This window comes from Homo sapiens, chromosome 2, assembly GCF_000001405.40.
Source record: "Homo sapiens chromosome 2, GRCh38.p14 Primary Assembly".
Lineage (NCBI taxonomy): Eukaryota > Metazoa > Chordata > Mammalia > Primates > Hominidae > Homo > Homo sapiens.
Window position 1 is genome coordinate 158,113,171 of NC_000002.12, and position 16,080 is coordinate 158,129,250.

Genomic DNA, 16,080 nt, shown 5'->3' on the forward strand with positions numbered 1-16,080 from the left:
TTATAGCAATATCTACAGTTCAAAGGAGAATTCAAACCACAAGCTATTCTAACATCTGTTTTGGTTTTATGGTCAATCTGAATAGTTGTAATTTACATTCACTGGCACCACACAATGAGGTTATTTTCAAACTACCGTACTGTGTTAAAAAATTTCCTTGGACTTAGATCGTGAGCCAAGTCTTAACTATCCATACCAACAAAGAAGAAAATTCTAAGAATTATCAATAACTAGTTTAAAACTCACCTGAAACCATGGTCTTAACCTCTTTGCTACCAGTCTTTATGGCAGACTTCTATTGCAGTTCATTACTAGCTTAAGGCTTCATCAGAGAAACTCATAAGAAGGCAGAGAAAAGACAATATTAAGGGTAGAAGAGAAGCAGAGGGCGTGGATACAGGGTTAATTACACCCCTAATTGAGAAAGAGAATAGCTCAGGAATTATTGCTAAATGGAAACAAGATGCATCATGTACTCAGACCACCCAATAGTTAGAGTAAATCATTTGTGAATGGGGCCGCCTATTCTATAACCTCAGTTAGGTATTTCGTTAGACAGATATTCTTTATCCCTGTGATGGACCTTGTCAGCCCTCCCAGTCCTCTGTCCAATGCTGCCTACATCAGCCAGATACCACCAACTGCCTTTTCCTCACTAGAGGACTCAAACCAGCTTCCTGTGTACTAAATTCTGCAATACAGGAAAAGTAACAAGCTCAGAAGCAGGAATAGAAAATTGCTACATGATATAAAAAATAATGGTTACCATTTGCACATCACTGAGAACGTGTCTGGACTTGTGCAATGTCCTTTGCCATATGCAATCTCACGTTCTTCTTTCAAAACTCTCTGAGAGGTACTGTGTTTTTCCTATTTTGGAGATGTTCTGAGGCACATCGATTATTTGTGTGACACTGAGCAAGTTTCTTACTCACTGATGGGGTTGGAGTTCAAAGCCAGGTTTACCTAACCTCAAAGGGCAGACCCTCCACTATGTTGTCTTCTCTCTCTCTGCATTTTCCTCACCACTTACTTCAGAATCCGGGAGGACTTGACTCTTGCCACCTTGCTGTGGCCTGTGCTTCCTCCTGGGTGTGAGAGTCTGCTACTGCTCACCCTCTTGTTGCTGACCCGTAGTGCTTCTCTGCTCCTCTCCCTGGCGTCCACCTCTCCCACTCCTGGTACCTGGGGCTAGGGTACCCCTAAACAGACTGTTGTATGAGTAACTGCCAGACAATTGTATTACCATCTTCTATTAGACACCGTTGACTGCAACACCTATCCTAATTTCAGAGAAGGTAAAATGTGAATAAAACAAAAACAAAAATAAATCACTGGAATTGATGAAATGCCACAGGGAGATCCCACATTTACAATAATAAGGCTTGTTCCATGAGAATTTCTTCTGAATAAGAAATTTAAAAGTCTTGACATGATTCCTTTAAAATTTTAAGTTCACATACTCCATTTCACAATACAAATTTATGATGGGGGATGGGGAATCAGAAAACATACCTAAAACTGGTGGTTCTCCTTTTGCTCTTACATCACTCACGTGCCGTGGCCTCAGAACTTACATCCTAAGCATATGTCATGGTAATGCTCAACAATAGGCTGTCTATGTCAATTTAAGATGCTGGTTGGTGTTCACTATAAACAAAAACACCAGGAAACACCTCCTTGAATAATATCAACATTTATTTTGATTTTGTGATTTTCTTTACAAATTTAGTGCAAAAAACTTTGCATCTGTTGCTTTATTTACAGGTTGATGATGCAAATTAGCTAATTCATGGAACATAAACCATGACATCTACACGTGTTCTTAAGTAAATTAACTAAAAAGTAAAATAAAAACATTAGAGTTGAAACTGACCCGTGGTTCTTATCCCAGTTACTATGGCAGGCCCTTGTTTATTTTTATTAACAGTTTGTCTGTGTCGGTGGGAGCCCCAACAGAATGAAAGCATTTGCACTGTTTATGCACAAGGAGCTCGGGTTTGAGGAAGCTGAAGAAGACATAAAAGACATCTGTGCTGGGACAGACAGATACTGTATGTACAAAACCGGGCCTGTGCTCGCCATCAGTGTAAGTATCCATGGTTGCATTTCAGCTAGTCATTGCAGGCTAGAGAAAAAAGTGGGAACTTTTACATGTAGGAGTTCTTTTTCCCTCCAGCTTCGCATTCTTACACAATCAAACAAGGTGTCCAGGTATGAGTTCATTATTGGAAAAAGCCCCCAGGGCAGAACACAGCATGCAGCATCATTTTTGTTTATTAGTTACCACTTAGGTATTCAAATTAGGGGGAAAATACTCAAAGCACCCCTCCTTTCTCTTTACTTTGTAACTGGTTAACACCCCTCACCCCCGCCACGGCAATTTTCCTTCTTCTATCCCTTACCCAGCTTTGGGAATGTTGAGCTTTTAGTACACAGAGGCTAATTTTCAGGACTGCTAAAGTGCTGCTGTTTAACACCATAATAAGCTCGCTGAAAAGCTGCTAATGCATTTCTACTGAGCTCTTGTAAATTACTCTCCTGCATTTAGAACATGTGAACAGTTATGGAAGCACACAGTGCCCTAAGACAAAATGAAAGGGGAATGATTTGCAGTTTTAGGGAAGATGCAGACCATTTCCCCCTTGGACTCAGCTGGGCACACACTGATGAGGGCGTATGTGCATAGGCATCCCATTTGCCTTCCCATGTTTGTCTCTCTGCACAGGGCTGTATTCTGAAGCAATAACTCTGAAGCCATCACATTTCTGGGCACTGCAACCCTCAAAAGAGGCACAGGCAGGCATGCCAGGGGACAGGGGAAGAGTCTCCTGCACAGGGTGGCAATTCTAAGGAACTAAGCTGTAAGTGGCTCCTACCATAGGGAATAGGCATCATCCATTGATTGCCCTACAGTGTGGACAATCATTGATGAAAACCTGCGGTAAAGAAGGGAAAATTATGCAACACCAATAAGGCAGCTAAATTGCTCTCCTCTCTGGGCCAAGAGCGCCTGAAACCTGCTCAAATGGGAGAGTCCATTCAGTTATTCACTTGTGCATTCAATAAACCATTACAGAATATCTACATTAGAAGGAAGCTGAATATCCACTGATCTTGGTAAATTTTTTCTTACCAACATTTAGTGGACCTTTAGACTATAACTGTTTTTTGTATAGTAAATGGAGAAGGACAAAAAAGTAAGTTTCTTAAAAATGTGACACTACCATAAATAAGCAGTAAAACTTCACAGTAAGAAATGAAAACAGCAATAGACTGATCCTGTCCTGTCTGGGAAAAAGACCTGAAATATGTGTGATGCCAAGGTTACCAATTAGAAATGGGCCTTACTAGGCAGGCAGGGGATTGACAAATGTGATTCCTTCTTTGAAAATTCTTCCTCTCCAGTAGTGGTTGAATGGGGTGCGTGTGTGTGAAAGAGAGCACAAGTCCATTTGTCATTTTATCAATGCGTAACATAATAAGTGGCAATCATTAACTTACTAAATGTCTGAACTAGAAGGAATCTAATAGATCAAATAATAGTTCATCTTCTTATTTTGCAGGTAAGAAAAAATAATACTTAGAGCATTTATTCATTAGTCACAGAGCCAGTTCCAAAGTCCTAAACTTGTTAATCTTGGATATACAAATCAATACAAGTTCGATGCCTGGCTCCAGGATGCTTACTAAACATTTGAAAGTCAGGGCATATGCAATGGGAACCAGAAAGGGGTAACGCAGAGGTTCGAAGTTTCCATAGCTCAACATTCTTGATAGACGGAGGAAGCTCAGGTGAAAACATCATGGTCACGGCCAATGGTTTTCCAAAGTCTTTGTGTCCAAAAGTAGGACACATTGAAGAGCACATTTGACTCTCTGCTGTTATGTCAGGAATTAAGTTACTACCAGTTTTGAAATCAGTTCCAGTTTCTGCAAATTACAGAATGGAGGATGTTTCTGGAGAGTTATTAGGACATTGTGTAGCCACCAGGAGTTGCTAAATCCTGTAGCCTGTGTTGATCCCTTTTCTGGTGACATTGATTCCACTGTCCTGAATACTGAAAAAAACAGGGCTATGGTCATCATCTATAGTAATTTAAACTCACTTCCATGTTCAGTTTAAGTTTAAAATTGTTAAGTGGGGAATCTAACCCACGTTTCTACTCTAGTACCTTTCAGAGCACACAAAATTAACAGCAAATGAAATGGATTCACTATTTCATTTAGTATGGTTGAAAAAGACTGATGATTTGGCAACCAAAATTATATTTCCTCAAAATCAAGTCAATCGTGCAAAAAGCTCTTTTTCAAAGGCTCATCATGAAGAGCCCAGTGGGAAGATGGGAAATGGCACCGCCCTGACACACCTGTATACCACACCATCCCCACCTTCTGCTCTTGCTGATGAGGGCTGAAGTCAACAGAACTGGCAGTGAGATGCCTCCCTCTGATCTTCACAGATGGACACATCTGTCAGCATGTCATGTAGGTGCCAATTAGGGAGGACTTACATTTTCCTCAGCATTGGCAAAGTCTTAATGATTATGTAAATGTATCTGAGGCCTGTTAACTTGTAATGATGGAAGAAATTATGTCCTGTTCATGTATCACTTTGCAAGATGTATGATGACTTTCTCTTTCTCTCAATAGCACGGCATGGGCATCCCCTCCATTTCTATTATGCTTCATGAACTCATCAAATTACTCCACCATGCACGGTGCTGCGATGTCACCATTATTAGAATCGGTACATCAGGGGGAATAGGTGAGACGGATTGATGTCTACTATTAGAACTGAGTGATCCTTACATACATGGTAGCTGCCAAAATATAACATCCTATTCAGAGCCCAGCAAAAGCCCAGATGGGCTAAAAAGTGTCAGAAGGCTGGACTTGAGGAAACTTAAGGAAATCTGCCCACATTGCCTTTTTCTTTTATTCCTTTTTTCTTTATGGAAACCCACAGGGAGAGATCTCACTGCCTATTGCGGGATAGTCTTAGGTGTTTATAAAGGGAAGAGTAGAAAAATTGTTAGAAGATATGTTTTGAGGGTAGGGGTAAATTTCAAGTCTTAGGAGTTTTTTTAAAGTGACAGAAATAAGTGTGTTCAAGTAAAAAAAAAAATCATAAAAATGTCCCAGTTTTATCAGCTAAGTGAGCAAACTGCAAAGCTCTTAGAAAAACATTGCTTTTTGCTCACATCAGTTACTACGTCACCTCTACTGGCTGTATCTTTTCCTCATCAGTACACTAGAAAGAAACCAGGCCAGGCTTTCAGGGAAGGCTTAAGTGATGCTTCCTATAGTTTTCACAGAGCCTCCCAACCTCCCTTCTTCTTAGGCCTGTCAGTCAGCTGTATAGAGGCCTTGGTTTTGCTTCCAGAATGTGTTATGATGAAGTTTTGAGGTTTCCTCAAAACTTTCAGCTTTTTCTTAAGGAGCACATCTTGTCAGGGTATGATTTTACCATGTCACCAAAGTGCAAATACAGACTGCACATGGCAAATGGAGAAGTTTGGTTGACAGGGCGATAGAACTGAATGGGCATTATAAAAAGGGCTGAGATTTGGGAAGAGAAATGGTGGTAGAATTAGACATTTATGGAGCAAAAAGGGATGTCAGAAATCCTCACACAAGTAGGTGGAGAAGTGGTGTGTTCAACATCACAAAGCCACCATGGCTGAGCCATGCTTCACTAGAAATCAGACATGTTGGAAAAGATGATGGCTTTCCACAGCCGTGGTCCAGGAATAAAGTCCAGCCAAGGCCCTTACATCTGGGAGAAAGTAGGACCTTTGTGGATGTTCATCCATAGAGAGAAGTAGAGTGCTAGCAATAAGTGTCAGATCAGGCATCCTTCTAGATTGTAGTTTATCCAACAATACCCCAAATAATCAGTAGTAGGGAACTGCTCATTTGGGCATGAATTTCAGATAACATAGCTATTAAAGTTGCTCATAATTCTTGGGTTGTGGGTTACAAGGATCTGCCTTCATAGCCAACATTCATGCATTGTAAAGTCCTGACTGCTACAGTTACCACTTGATATTAACAAACACCAGCATGGGCAAGGTGCTCCAATGATCATCCAGCTCTTGATTAGGGTATTTTATTTCATGGCAACACGATACATATAGCACACAATGAAGGCCCATGGATGGTGGCAAATTAACCCACTGTACTGGTGTGGACACCTTCATTTTGAAGTTTTATCCTCATTAAGAACTCTTAGCTTACCAAAAAGATGTATTTGCTTATTTTCTTTTAAGCAGTATTGCGTTTGGAGATGAAAGATGTACACAGTATTGTCGCTCACATGATCCCTTCCTACATGAGCCAACACACCTTAACAAGCATAAACTACTCAGTTAAATAGTATGTTGACCTTTGAGAAACCTTAACCATGACATAATACACTAACACATTTAAATATTAAGATGGCATATAAATAACATCATTTTTATGTATATATTTTCAACTTCCCTCTCAATCACTTTCTTAGGACATTGTGAACAATTCAAGGAGCCACTTACTTGGATTGTTTAAAAACTATCTGGCCAGGCATGGTGGCTCACATTTATAATCCCAGTACTTTGGGAGGCCGAGGCAGTGGATCACTTGAGGCCAGGAGTTTGAGACCAGCCTGGCCAATGTGGTGAAACCCCATCTCTACTAAAAATACAAAAAATTAGTTAGGTGTGGGTGTATGTGCCTGTAGTCCTAGCTATTCTGGAGGCTGAGGCAGGAGAATTGCTTGAACCCTGGAGGCAGAGACTGCAGTGAGCTGAGATCACCCCACTACATTACAGCCTGGGTGACAGAGCAAGACCTCATCTCAAAAAAAAAAAATAAAAATAAAAATAAATTAAAAAAAAATATTTCACCCAACAAGGCTCTATTATCAGTGGCCACCTTGGGTCTCTAGTTGGATCTTCTAAAGCATTTTGTAATTAAGTCTACTTTGATCAATATCAAAATTTATGCCACCCTGAAGGATAAGTCTATACTCTATAGAAAGGATTGTCAAGCTTTTTCTGTAAAGGACAAGACAGTACATATTTTAGGATTTGCTGACTGTGTGATTTCTATTGCAACTTCTCAACTCTGCCTCTAGAGCTTGAAAGCAGCTATAGACAATATGTAAATAAATGGGTGTGGCTGTGTGACTAATAAAACTTTATTTACAAAGACAGGATTTGGTTTATGAACCATAGGCTTGCGGAGCTATAATCTATGGCATCTTTGTGAAAACATTCACTCATTTGACAAATTTTTATTGAGTACCTATAATGTGGCAGGCACAGAGCTAGACCAGGAGAGAGCAGTGAACAGACATAGTTCTTGACTTTATAGAGTTTATGTTCTATCAGAGAAAAAGATAAACAAATGGGTAATTATAAAAAGTGTTAGGACAGAGAGAGTCTAGGGCATTTATGAAGATATATCTTCTTATTCAGGCTTTAAATAGAAACCAGACTGGGTCAAAAGCTGGGTCAAAAATGGGCCTGGGGAAATTTAGTGTAACCTATCTGTGTTGCCTTTTAATTTTTTCATTTGTTTGCTTCCCTTCTGTGGATTCAGACCTTTTTCAGGAAGTAAATTAAGCTGACACCTGAAGAGTGACTTGGTGTGTGGTGAAAAGGTGGGGGGAGGAGGAGATGGCATGGCAGGCAGGGAGACTAACAGTTGGCAGAAAATAGTTTCTTAAGTAAGCCCAAGTCCCTTGAGCAACTCAGACTTTGTAGCCATGGAAGGTCAGCCAAGAGCCCTGATTTACATGAAGTCGGCGAGAGAACAAATGTGAAAAGAATCAGAAGAAAAAGAGGATAGAGATGCAAAGAAATTACAGTAATCAAGAAGTCGCAGAGAAGATTAAATATTAAGAAGTCACATCACTTTATGAAAGCTACTTGCTGGCAGGCTTATTTAGTTTTTTCCTGACCTAATTTATTCAAATTTGAGCCCAAAGTCTGGCACTAATTTGCATGTCCAAGAGTCATGTTTGTCTTGAAATCTAAACCCCATCACATTGTAAATGTGCATTTGAAAAGACAACAAATGTAAATGCCTCTTCTGAATGTTATTTAATTGCATTTGGAAAAGAAAATAATTTTAAAGTTGAAAACAGGGAGACTCATTAGCAGCTAGCATTAATACTAGAATAAGTTACATACTATGTGTCAAAAGTAAACTCTAAACGATATTCTTCTGTAATCATTTATTCCCACATTGCAGGGATTGCACCAGGGACTGTTGTAATAACGGATATAGCTGTAGACTCCTTCTTTAAGCCCCGGTTTGAACAGGTCATTTTGGACAACATTGTCACCCGAAGTACTGAACTGGACAAAGAACTGTCTGAAGAACTGTTCAACTGTAGCAAAGAAATCCCCAACTTCCCAACCCTCGTTGGACATACAATGTGTACCTATGATTTTTATGAAGGTGAGAACAATTTATAAACTGTGAAGGAAACAGAAAAATGCCAGCAACTCTTTGTTATTCAAACCCATAATTTATATTAACAACTCTACTTAAGAAAATTAATATTTGTGGGTTAAAAAGGAAATGAAACAGCCTTTTTTACTTACTAAAGCATAGAAACACAAGGACATAATGAGCAGCAGAATGAATTTATATTGAGGGTGGATTTAATCCTCCAAGAACACATTGAACACTAAAATGCAATTAGTGATGTTCACAGAATCTTATCTCTGTTTATGCCTTTAACTTAAATTAGCAGCTCTAAGAGAAGGGAAGTATGCTGATTCTATGTTTCTGCCATTCATCTGTACCTCAAAAATGATCCTGTCCCCCGGAAACAGTGGTCCAGAAAATGGGGAGAAATGCTTGGGGAGGGGGTACAAATCCCACGGGATGGCATGATCTCAGAGCGGGGTTTTTATCTCTCAGCCATGAGTAAGGGGTCCCCAAACCAAGTTTAGAGACAAATTGAAGATGACTGCTATGTAGCAGCACTTGCTACTAGGGATGAAGGGCCAAGGGGAAGAAACCTTCAAAGACAGACCCCCGATTCTTTCTCGTCCCAGAAGAAAGAATCTACACAGTATTGGTACCATGCCTTGAAGGGCATTCTGAAAATCTGGCAGTAGTTTTATTCTTTTCAAAATCCATACTATTTCATTATAAATTACTTTTATTTTCCCTTTAGCTCAAACTTAAGATATATTGAATTTTAAAAAATTATGTTTGGAGATAGGTCATATTATCTATACATTTTACTTCCGGTTAGTAAAGGTGGTTTCACCACATATTTGTTGTAAAATAGAAGGGCTGTTGGGGTCCAATAGGGTTGGGACCCTCTGTTCAAGGCCACTGACTCATAGTCCATCTCGAGGGTCACTCACTGATATGTTAAAGCAGAATTTGCAAATGGAAGCTTGTTAAAGTCAATGTTTCCTTTGGCCTGCACAGTATTTTTAAAAATGTGAATTATTTTGCCAACATTTACAATATCTGGAGATTTTATATTAACACCCACATTTCTGGCTTTTTGAAATAACTAGCATTTAAAAATGTACACCAGTATATGCATGACAGCCTTGACAAGCCCTGACCCACATCTGGGGCTACATTTGCTGAAGGTGAGGTGAAGCTGCTCCCCTCAGACCAGACACTCGCATCGACATTACCTGCTTGGCTTCTGCGATGTCTGTGTTTGAATCAGCTTAAATAGAGGTGGTGGCACGCAGCTCTAATGAGAAGAGAAGGAACAAGGGGAAGCAGACTGCCAGGGGTGAAAGTAGCGTGAAAGAGATAGAGGAAAGGGAGAAAAAGAGAGGAAAGAGCACCAAAAAGGGGATTGTGAAAATAATGGATGGCAACAGAGTGCTATTAGCCCACTTGCTTGAATCCAGGTCTTCTCAGGAGTGAGGAGGCATTAGGAGGTCTATTTCTGGGTGTGCACAGGGTACGGAAGGAGTAATGACATCAAGGTTTCCTTTCCTTGCTTCTGTCCGCACTGGTAGATACAGCTGAAATTCAGTGATGAATGAACACTGGGAGCAGCCTGGAAAGGAAAATGTGATCACAAGGGGTGGCGTGCAGCCTGAGAAGTGTGCGGAAAGGGGGAAGGTGGACAATGTCGCAAAGGCATATGGAGAGGCGCAATGTCCAAACACTGTCCTGATCCTCAAGTAGCTTAGCATCATCGAAACCTCTTTTTTTTTCTCCCAGCACCCATCCCTGGGCCATTCCCCAGTCATTGGAGCAACCTGAGATTTTCCTCAAAGGGCAGCTCTCACAGCAACCCCCCGCTTCCTGATTTCCCTGGGCACAGTGCTGGCTGCTGCAGCCACTCAACAGTTACTGACCCCAGAACTGAGGTCCTCGGCCATGAAGGCTCCTTCCTACGTATGAGACTCCTCAGCTAGGGACAGCATCGCTCCACAGTCCTCTGGTAGGAAGAGTCACACAGCTCAGTTTATCCTACACGGGGAGCACGCTGTAGAGTTAGACAGCGGCAGCGTGCTCCAGCCAACAGCAAGCCTCCTATGAGGCCACTGTCAGTGGGGTGGGACATCAAGTCACTAAACGTTCTCCCCTCCCTTTCAGGCCAAGGCCGACTAGATGGAGCACTGTGCTCCTTTTCCAGAGAAAAAAAGTTAGACTACTTGAAGAGAGCATTTAAAGCTGGTGTCAGGAATATTGAAATGGAATCTACAGTGTTTGCAGCTATGTGTGGACTCTGTGGTCTAAAAGGTAAGCTTTTCGTGAATGCTTAGGGTCAAATTCTCCTCTTTCATGAAGCTACTTTTACACCTTAGGAGAAGAAAAAGAGGTCCAGCTATATATTACCTTGGGCTGAAGGCATGACTTATAATTGTATATAATATACATTATCTCATAATATCTTGTGAGTGGCCAGGACATTATTCTTATTATGCAAATAAGGAAACTAAACCTCAGGGTTCAACAGCTAATTGGTGACATGTTCAGGGCTTGACAGCAAGTTCAGTTTCCTTCATCCTGGTGGTGGCTAGTAGTTTCTATTACAATTGAATTTATTGAGACAAGATACAAACAAAATATTCCTAAAATAGTCCATCAATCATAATTTTAAAGAGCATGGTCAGGGAAGGATGGGAGAAGAATGTGCCACTTGGATATCTGGGGGAAGAGCATTCTGTTCAATGCAAATCCAAGGCCACAGACAGGAGCATTCAAGGAGAATTGGAGGAACAGGGAAGAGATCAGGAGGGGAGAGGCAGTGGTGGAGAATGGGAGGAGAGAGGGAAGATGTACAGATTGTGTAGGACACTGTGAGAACAATGACTTTCACTCTGGGTGAAATGAGAAGCCACTGGAGAGCTCTGAATAGAGAGGTGGCTGGATCTGACCTGTGTGTTAACAGAATCACAGTGGCGGCTCAGCTGGGAAGACCCGAATGGGGTCAAGGGCAGAAGCAGGGAGAAGAACGAGAAGGCGAACGCAGTAGTCTAGTGAGAGTTGATGGACAAAGTGATAGCAGCGCAGGTAGTGAGAAGTAGTCAGATTGTAGAAACATTTTGAAGACAAACCCAACAACATTTGCTGACAACTTGATGTAAATTTGGTGAGAAAGGCAGGAGTTAAAAATGACTCCCATGTTTATGGTCTAAACTACTGGAAGCATGAGGTTGCCATAACTGGGACAGAGGAAATTGGGGTGAAGACATTAGGGTAGTAGACATCAAAATGGAGGCCAAGCAAGCAGGTGAATTTATGAATCTGGAGTTTAGGTTGGTCGTTTGCACTGGAGACATAAAATTCTAAGTTGAAAGCATATAGATGGCATTTAAAGCTATGCAATGGGTAAGATAACAAACAATGAGTCTAGGCACAGATGACAAGAGGTCCTTGCTTAAACGTTAAAAGTTAATTGAGATGGGAGAGACCAAGGAGGAGTGGCCCATGAAGTTGGCAGTACACCAGGGAAGTGTGGCATCCTGATATGCAAAGAGGAAGGCTTCAAAGAAGTAAAGAATTACAGCACAATAAAGCTTCATTTTTATAAGTGGAATTTGACTTGCAAAACTTGTCCTTATAGTCAATGAATTTTAATCTACACATTACAAACAGAATATATGTGGTCATATTTCTAAGAATGCATTTTACAAAAAAGCTGTAGTTCTAAGGAGATTAATTGTTGAACCACTATCCTTAACTACTTGCATCTGTCAGAATATATGTACGTGTAAATTATTGGTAAAAACGTGGGAAGAACACGCAATGCATTTTTGTACTCTTTTTTTTTTTTTTTGAGACAGAGTCTCCCTCTGTTGCCCAGGCTGAGTGTAGTGGCGCAATCTCGGCTCACTATAATCTTTGCTTTGCCTCCTGGGTTCAAGCAATTCTCTTGCCTCAGCCTCCCACATAGCTGGAATTACAAGCTTGTGCCACCATGCCCGGCTAACTTTTGTATTTTCAGTAGAGATGGGGTTTCAATGTTGGCCAGACTGGTCTTGAACTCCTGACATCAAGTGATCCACTTGCCTCGGCCTCCCAAAGTGCTAGGATTACAGGAGTGAGCCACCACGCCCAGCCCATCTTTGTATTCTTTTGAAGGTCATTGCTAGTATCCTCTTTTAGAGAACAAGAGCATCTGCTTTTCTCTCTACAAGTTAGTGACGGTGGGAAAGCAGCACCCCACACAGCCTGCAGGGACACCTGGATTCAGATGGTTCTGCTCCAGGAAATGCCTCCTCACATTTCTTTATTACATAAACAAGTGATCACTTGAGTCATGTCTCCACCTAATGTGTAAGTGTAACATAATTTGTTAACCACTTTATTAATAGTTAAACATAAAATGCCGAGTTATCAACATGTTGCCTTCATGAAAACCGGGTGATGACCAGCAGTTCTTTCTTAAGAGGCACCAACTGGCAGCCAAGAAGAGTTCTAGGCTTGTGGACCCTGGACTCTGAGTCTTTCTTTCTCTGTTTAGGATGTTGCAGAAACCTAAGTGAAGTTATTCTAAGAGCCTTTCTGTCCTTGCTGCAAATCTTTGTAACCTTGCTCTCTCTGCTACCTGCAGGTTTCCCTCCTGGATGCTTTCTTCTCTACATTTCTGTAGTTACTGCCCTCCACTGCATTTTCTTTCTTATGCTGCTGCTGGACCTGCTGGTAGCTGATTTCCGCCTGCAAATAGCTCTCCCCCAGGCCACTGCTGCAGCCTTTCATGGAGTAGACCCCTTCTAGGCTGCCAACATTCACACTAAAAGTTGCATCTGCAGCTCTGTAGTTCTTGGGAGTATTTCTATCTGAATGTCTTCATGGTGCCAGCGGCTCTTTATCTCCCTCAGATTTACTGTTCTAAAAGGTGGATTCCTGGTATGCTGTCCCCTGGAAGATCAGCCACCAAGTATAGAGACCGAAAACCCCATGGATAGGGTGCTATCATATTCTCTTCTTTCATTACTACTTCATAACATCCTGTTCCCGTAACACTGAAGCTTGGAAGCTGGCATCTGGCACCTTTTGATTTTAACCCATTTATAACGCACTTTGTGTGAGCCAGAAAAGCTTGCTTGGGGAAGGGCTGAGAATGCATTCATGGACAGCTGCTGAAACAGAGGAAGTTAGAGAGGACATCTGATGGTAAGCAATATGGAAAAAAAGATTTCACCTGGCACCAAGAGCCCAGGGCCCATAGGCATGTCTCCCTAACCCCCTCCCTGCCACTGTTAGTTATGGCCCACCCTATCCTATCTCTCCAGACAGCCTTCTGACACCTCTTCTGTTCCTTTAGTACACCAGATGACTGGATAACCAATCAGAATTCATACTAAGGTGATGGCTTATAAATACCAAATACTTACATAAACAAAGGTCTTCTAGAGAACCATTGTACTAACTTAGATGAATTACTCACTGAGTTTGGACCATTGCAGAAACAGATCTTTCTAGATCTACTTAGCACAAGGAGGCCTTGGGTCCACGTGGATTACCACTTATTATCTTTGCAGTTAGTATTACACATCTCACCCTAAATCTCACCTCCTCAAAAAAGTCTTGCATGACTACCTACACTCACTCACTCACAATGGTGTCATTCTATTTCATTTATCTGCATCACATTTACCACTACTGACTATATTTCCAGTCTGTTTATATGTTAACTTATATATTATTTCATGCATATTAGTGCATAAAGGCATATATTGATTATTTCTCTCCATTAGTGCCATAAGAACAGGGACCTTGTTTGTCATTGCTGTATCCCCAGTACTTAGAATAATGCCTGCCATATGGGCTTTCAATATTTACTGAACGAGTGAGTGAATGAAAAAAAAAAGGGCCACTAGACTCTTTTTGACTATGGAAAATGGCCATTGCAAACTTTAACCTTTATTCCCCAGCCATATAAGTGGCTTAGAATTGTCTAAAGGACTTAGGAGTATCTCCTAACTGTCCACAAAGGGGGAAATAAAGCCTTAAAGTCAAGCCTCCCTTTGCTCTAAGGTCTATACAAATATTTATTTTGCTAGATCTACAACCTCTGGGTCTGTCAACATTTGATAGGTGGACAAACTACCTATAATAAGGCCACTGACACCCAGAAGTCACTGTTGCTATCCTGATCTCATTATTTTAGAAAAGAGAGTTGGGAATCCAATGCTGTTTTAACAAAGATTCAGGTGAAGGGAAATAGTGGAATTCACCCAATTATTCCAAAGCTAAATTTTCAGCATAATGTAAACCTGTTCAATGGAAGCACTGTGCAATGCTCAATAAATGCATTCTCCTATCACTTTATAATATGCACATATCTGTGTCTCTCTTAAAGCAAAATCTACTTTAATTAAGCCCCAAACATTCTGATGAAAGATGATAATCCTCTTGTACTGTGAACTTGTGGTAAGTATGTTTAACTTGTATTCGTGTTTTAAAGACAGTGCTGCCTTTTGACACAGGCTTGCCTGACAATATATGAAGCCTAATATTTGTCTACGCTTAGGTTCTGCTTAAATCCTCTTCTATGTCTAGTTGTTTGCAGCACTCACAGTGGCTTTTCTTTAAAGAATTCAGTGTTATTTCCTTGGACAGACACTGGTAACTTAGGGAAATATTTAGTCTTTATAATATTACCTTAGTACAGTTCAATGAGAGGGAGCAGAATCTTGACTTTAATTCCATGTTTATATTCTTCTGCTGTTCCCAACAATGAAGGATATTGGACTCTGAGAACTGCATGAGGATCATTGATAAAGGTAAAAAGATACCACAAGGATTAAAGGTTATAATCAGTTTGGAGCTAGAGTATTTCTTAACCCTAAAATGGAGATAAATCCAGATTTTGAAAAATCTTTAGGCCAGGGTACAAGGAGACCAATTGCAGGGCTCTTCACCTTTACAAGAGAAAAACTTCATTCTGTATGTATTCTACATGACTGTAGCTCAGGGAGGTTAAATAACTTTCCCACCTTCTCAGAGCTGGGAAACAGGTGAGCTGGACTTTGAACCCAGCTTGGCTGACTCAGGCAGCTTTGCACCCTGCCTGCCATTTCTTGCCAGCAGCCTCCGTGTGGACACAACATGTTCATAGTCTCTGGACGGAAGAGCCAAAATGTGCACCACTAAAAGTCAATGCAGATTTTTCCATTTTAAGTGTGGTGAGCAGATAGTTGCACCACTGCCACAAGCAAACCCTAAGGGCTGAGCACATACCAATTGACTTAGTGATGGGATCAAATAAAACATTAAGCAGATACTTATTTTATAGTATGCAGAGCCCTCATTTTGCCAAGAAAATCAGTCATTGTAGCTGGAAAATCAGGTATAAATGGTATATAATTCACTTATTACTTTTACAGGGACAAGATTTTTACAAAGGTGTCTTTTTGCTTTTTCACATATTTTAATCAAGGTCAGTGTCTATAGTTTTGTTTGATTCATTTTAATTCCACCCTCCTAGCCTCTATTCTACTCTTCCCTTCCCACTGCCAACAACTCACACATTAGGGATCATTTAGCGCCATTGATTCCACCCTGTCTGTGGTTGTCATTATTTGTGGCCCTCCTCTCCCCTGCTATGACCCCAGGGAGGCTATCTGGATTCCCCTGGTGAGCCTC

General features: G+C 40.9%; 1 protein-coding gene across 3 annotated transcripts in view, besides 1 other annotated feature; it reads left to right on the forward strand.

The window, feature by feature from the left end:
- Positions 1 to 16,080, forward strand: part of UPP2 (uridine phosphorylase 2) — a 140,976-nt gene that overhangs the window by 117,992 nt on the left and 6,904 nt on the right. For 2 of the 3 annotated variants that reach the window (NM_001135098.2, NM_173355.4), the window contains 4 exons: positions 1,931 to 2,089; positions 4,654 to 4,768; positions 8,239 to 8,448; positions 10,579 to 10,725. In NM_001135098.2, the coding sequence (NP_001128570.1) occupies positions 1,931 to 2,089; positions 4,654 to 4,768; positions 8,239 to 8,448; positions 10,579 to 10,725 (631 nt within the window). The other variant, XM_017003484.2, reaches the window with a different exon arrangement.
- Positions 199 to 1,398: an enhancer, noted in NCBI's record as "MED14-independent group 3 enhancer chr2:158969881-158971080 (GRCh37/hg19 assembly coordinates)". NCBI's record gives its function as "activates an origin of replication core promoter dependent on BRD2, BRD4, P300/CBP and CDK7 cofactors, and independent of MED14, by STARR-seq in HCT116 cells {active_cell/tissue: HCT116}" and the evidence as "EXISTENCE:reporter gene assay evidence [ECO:0000049][PMID:35650434]".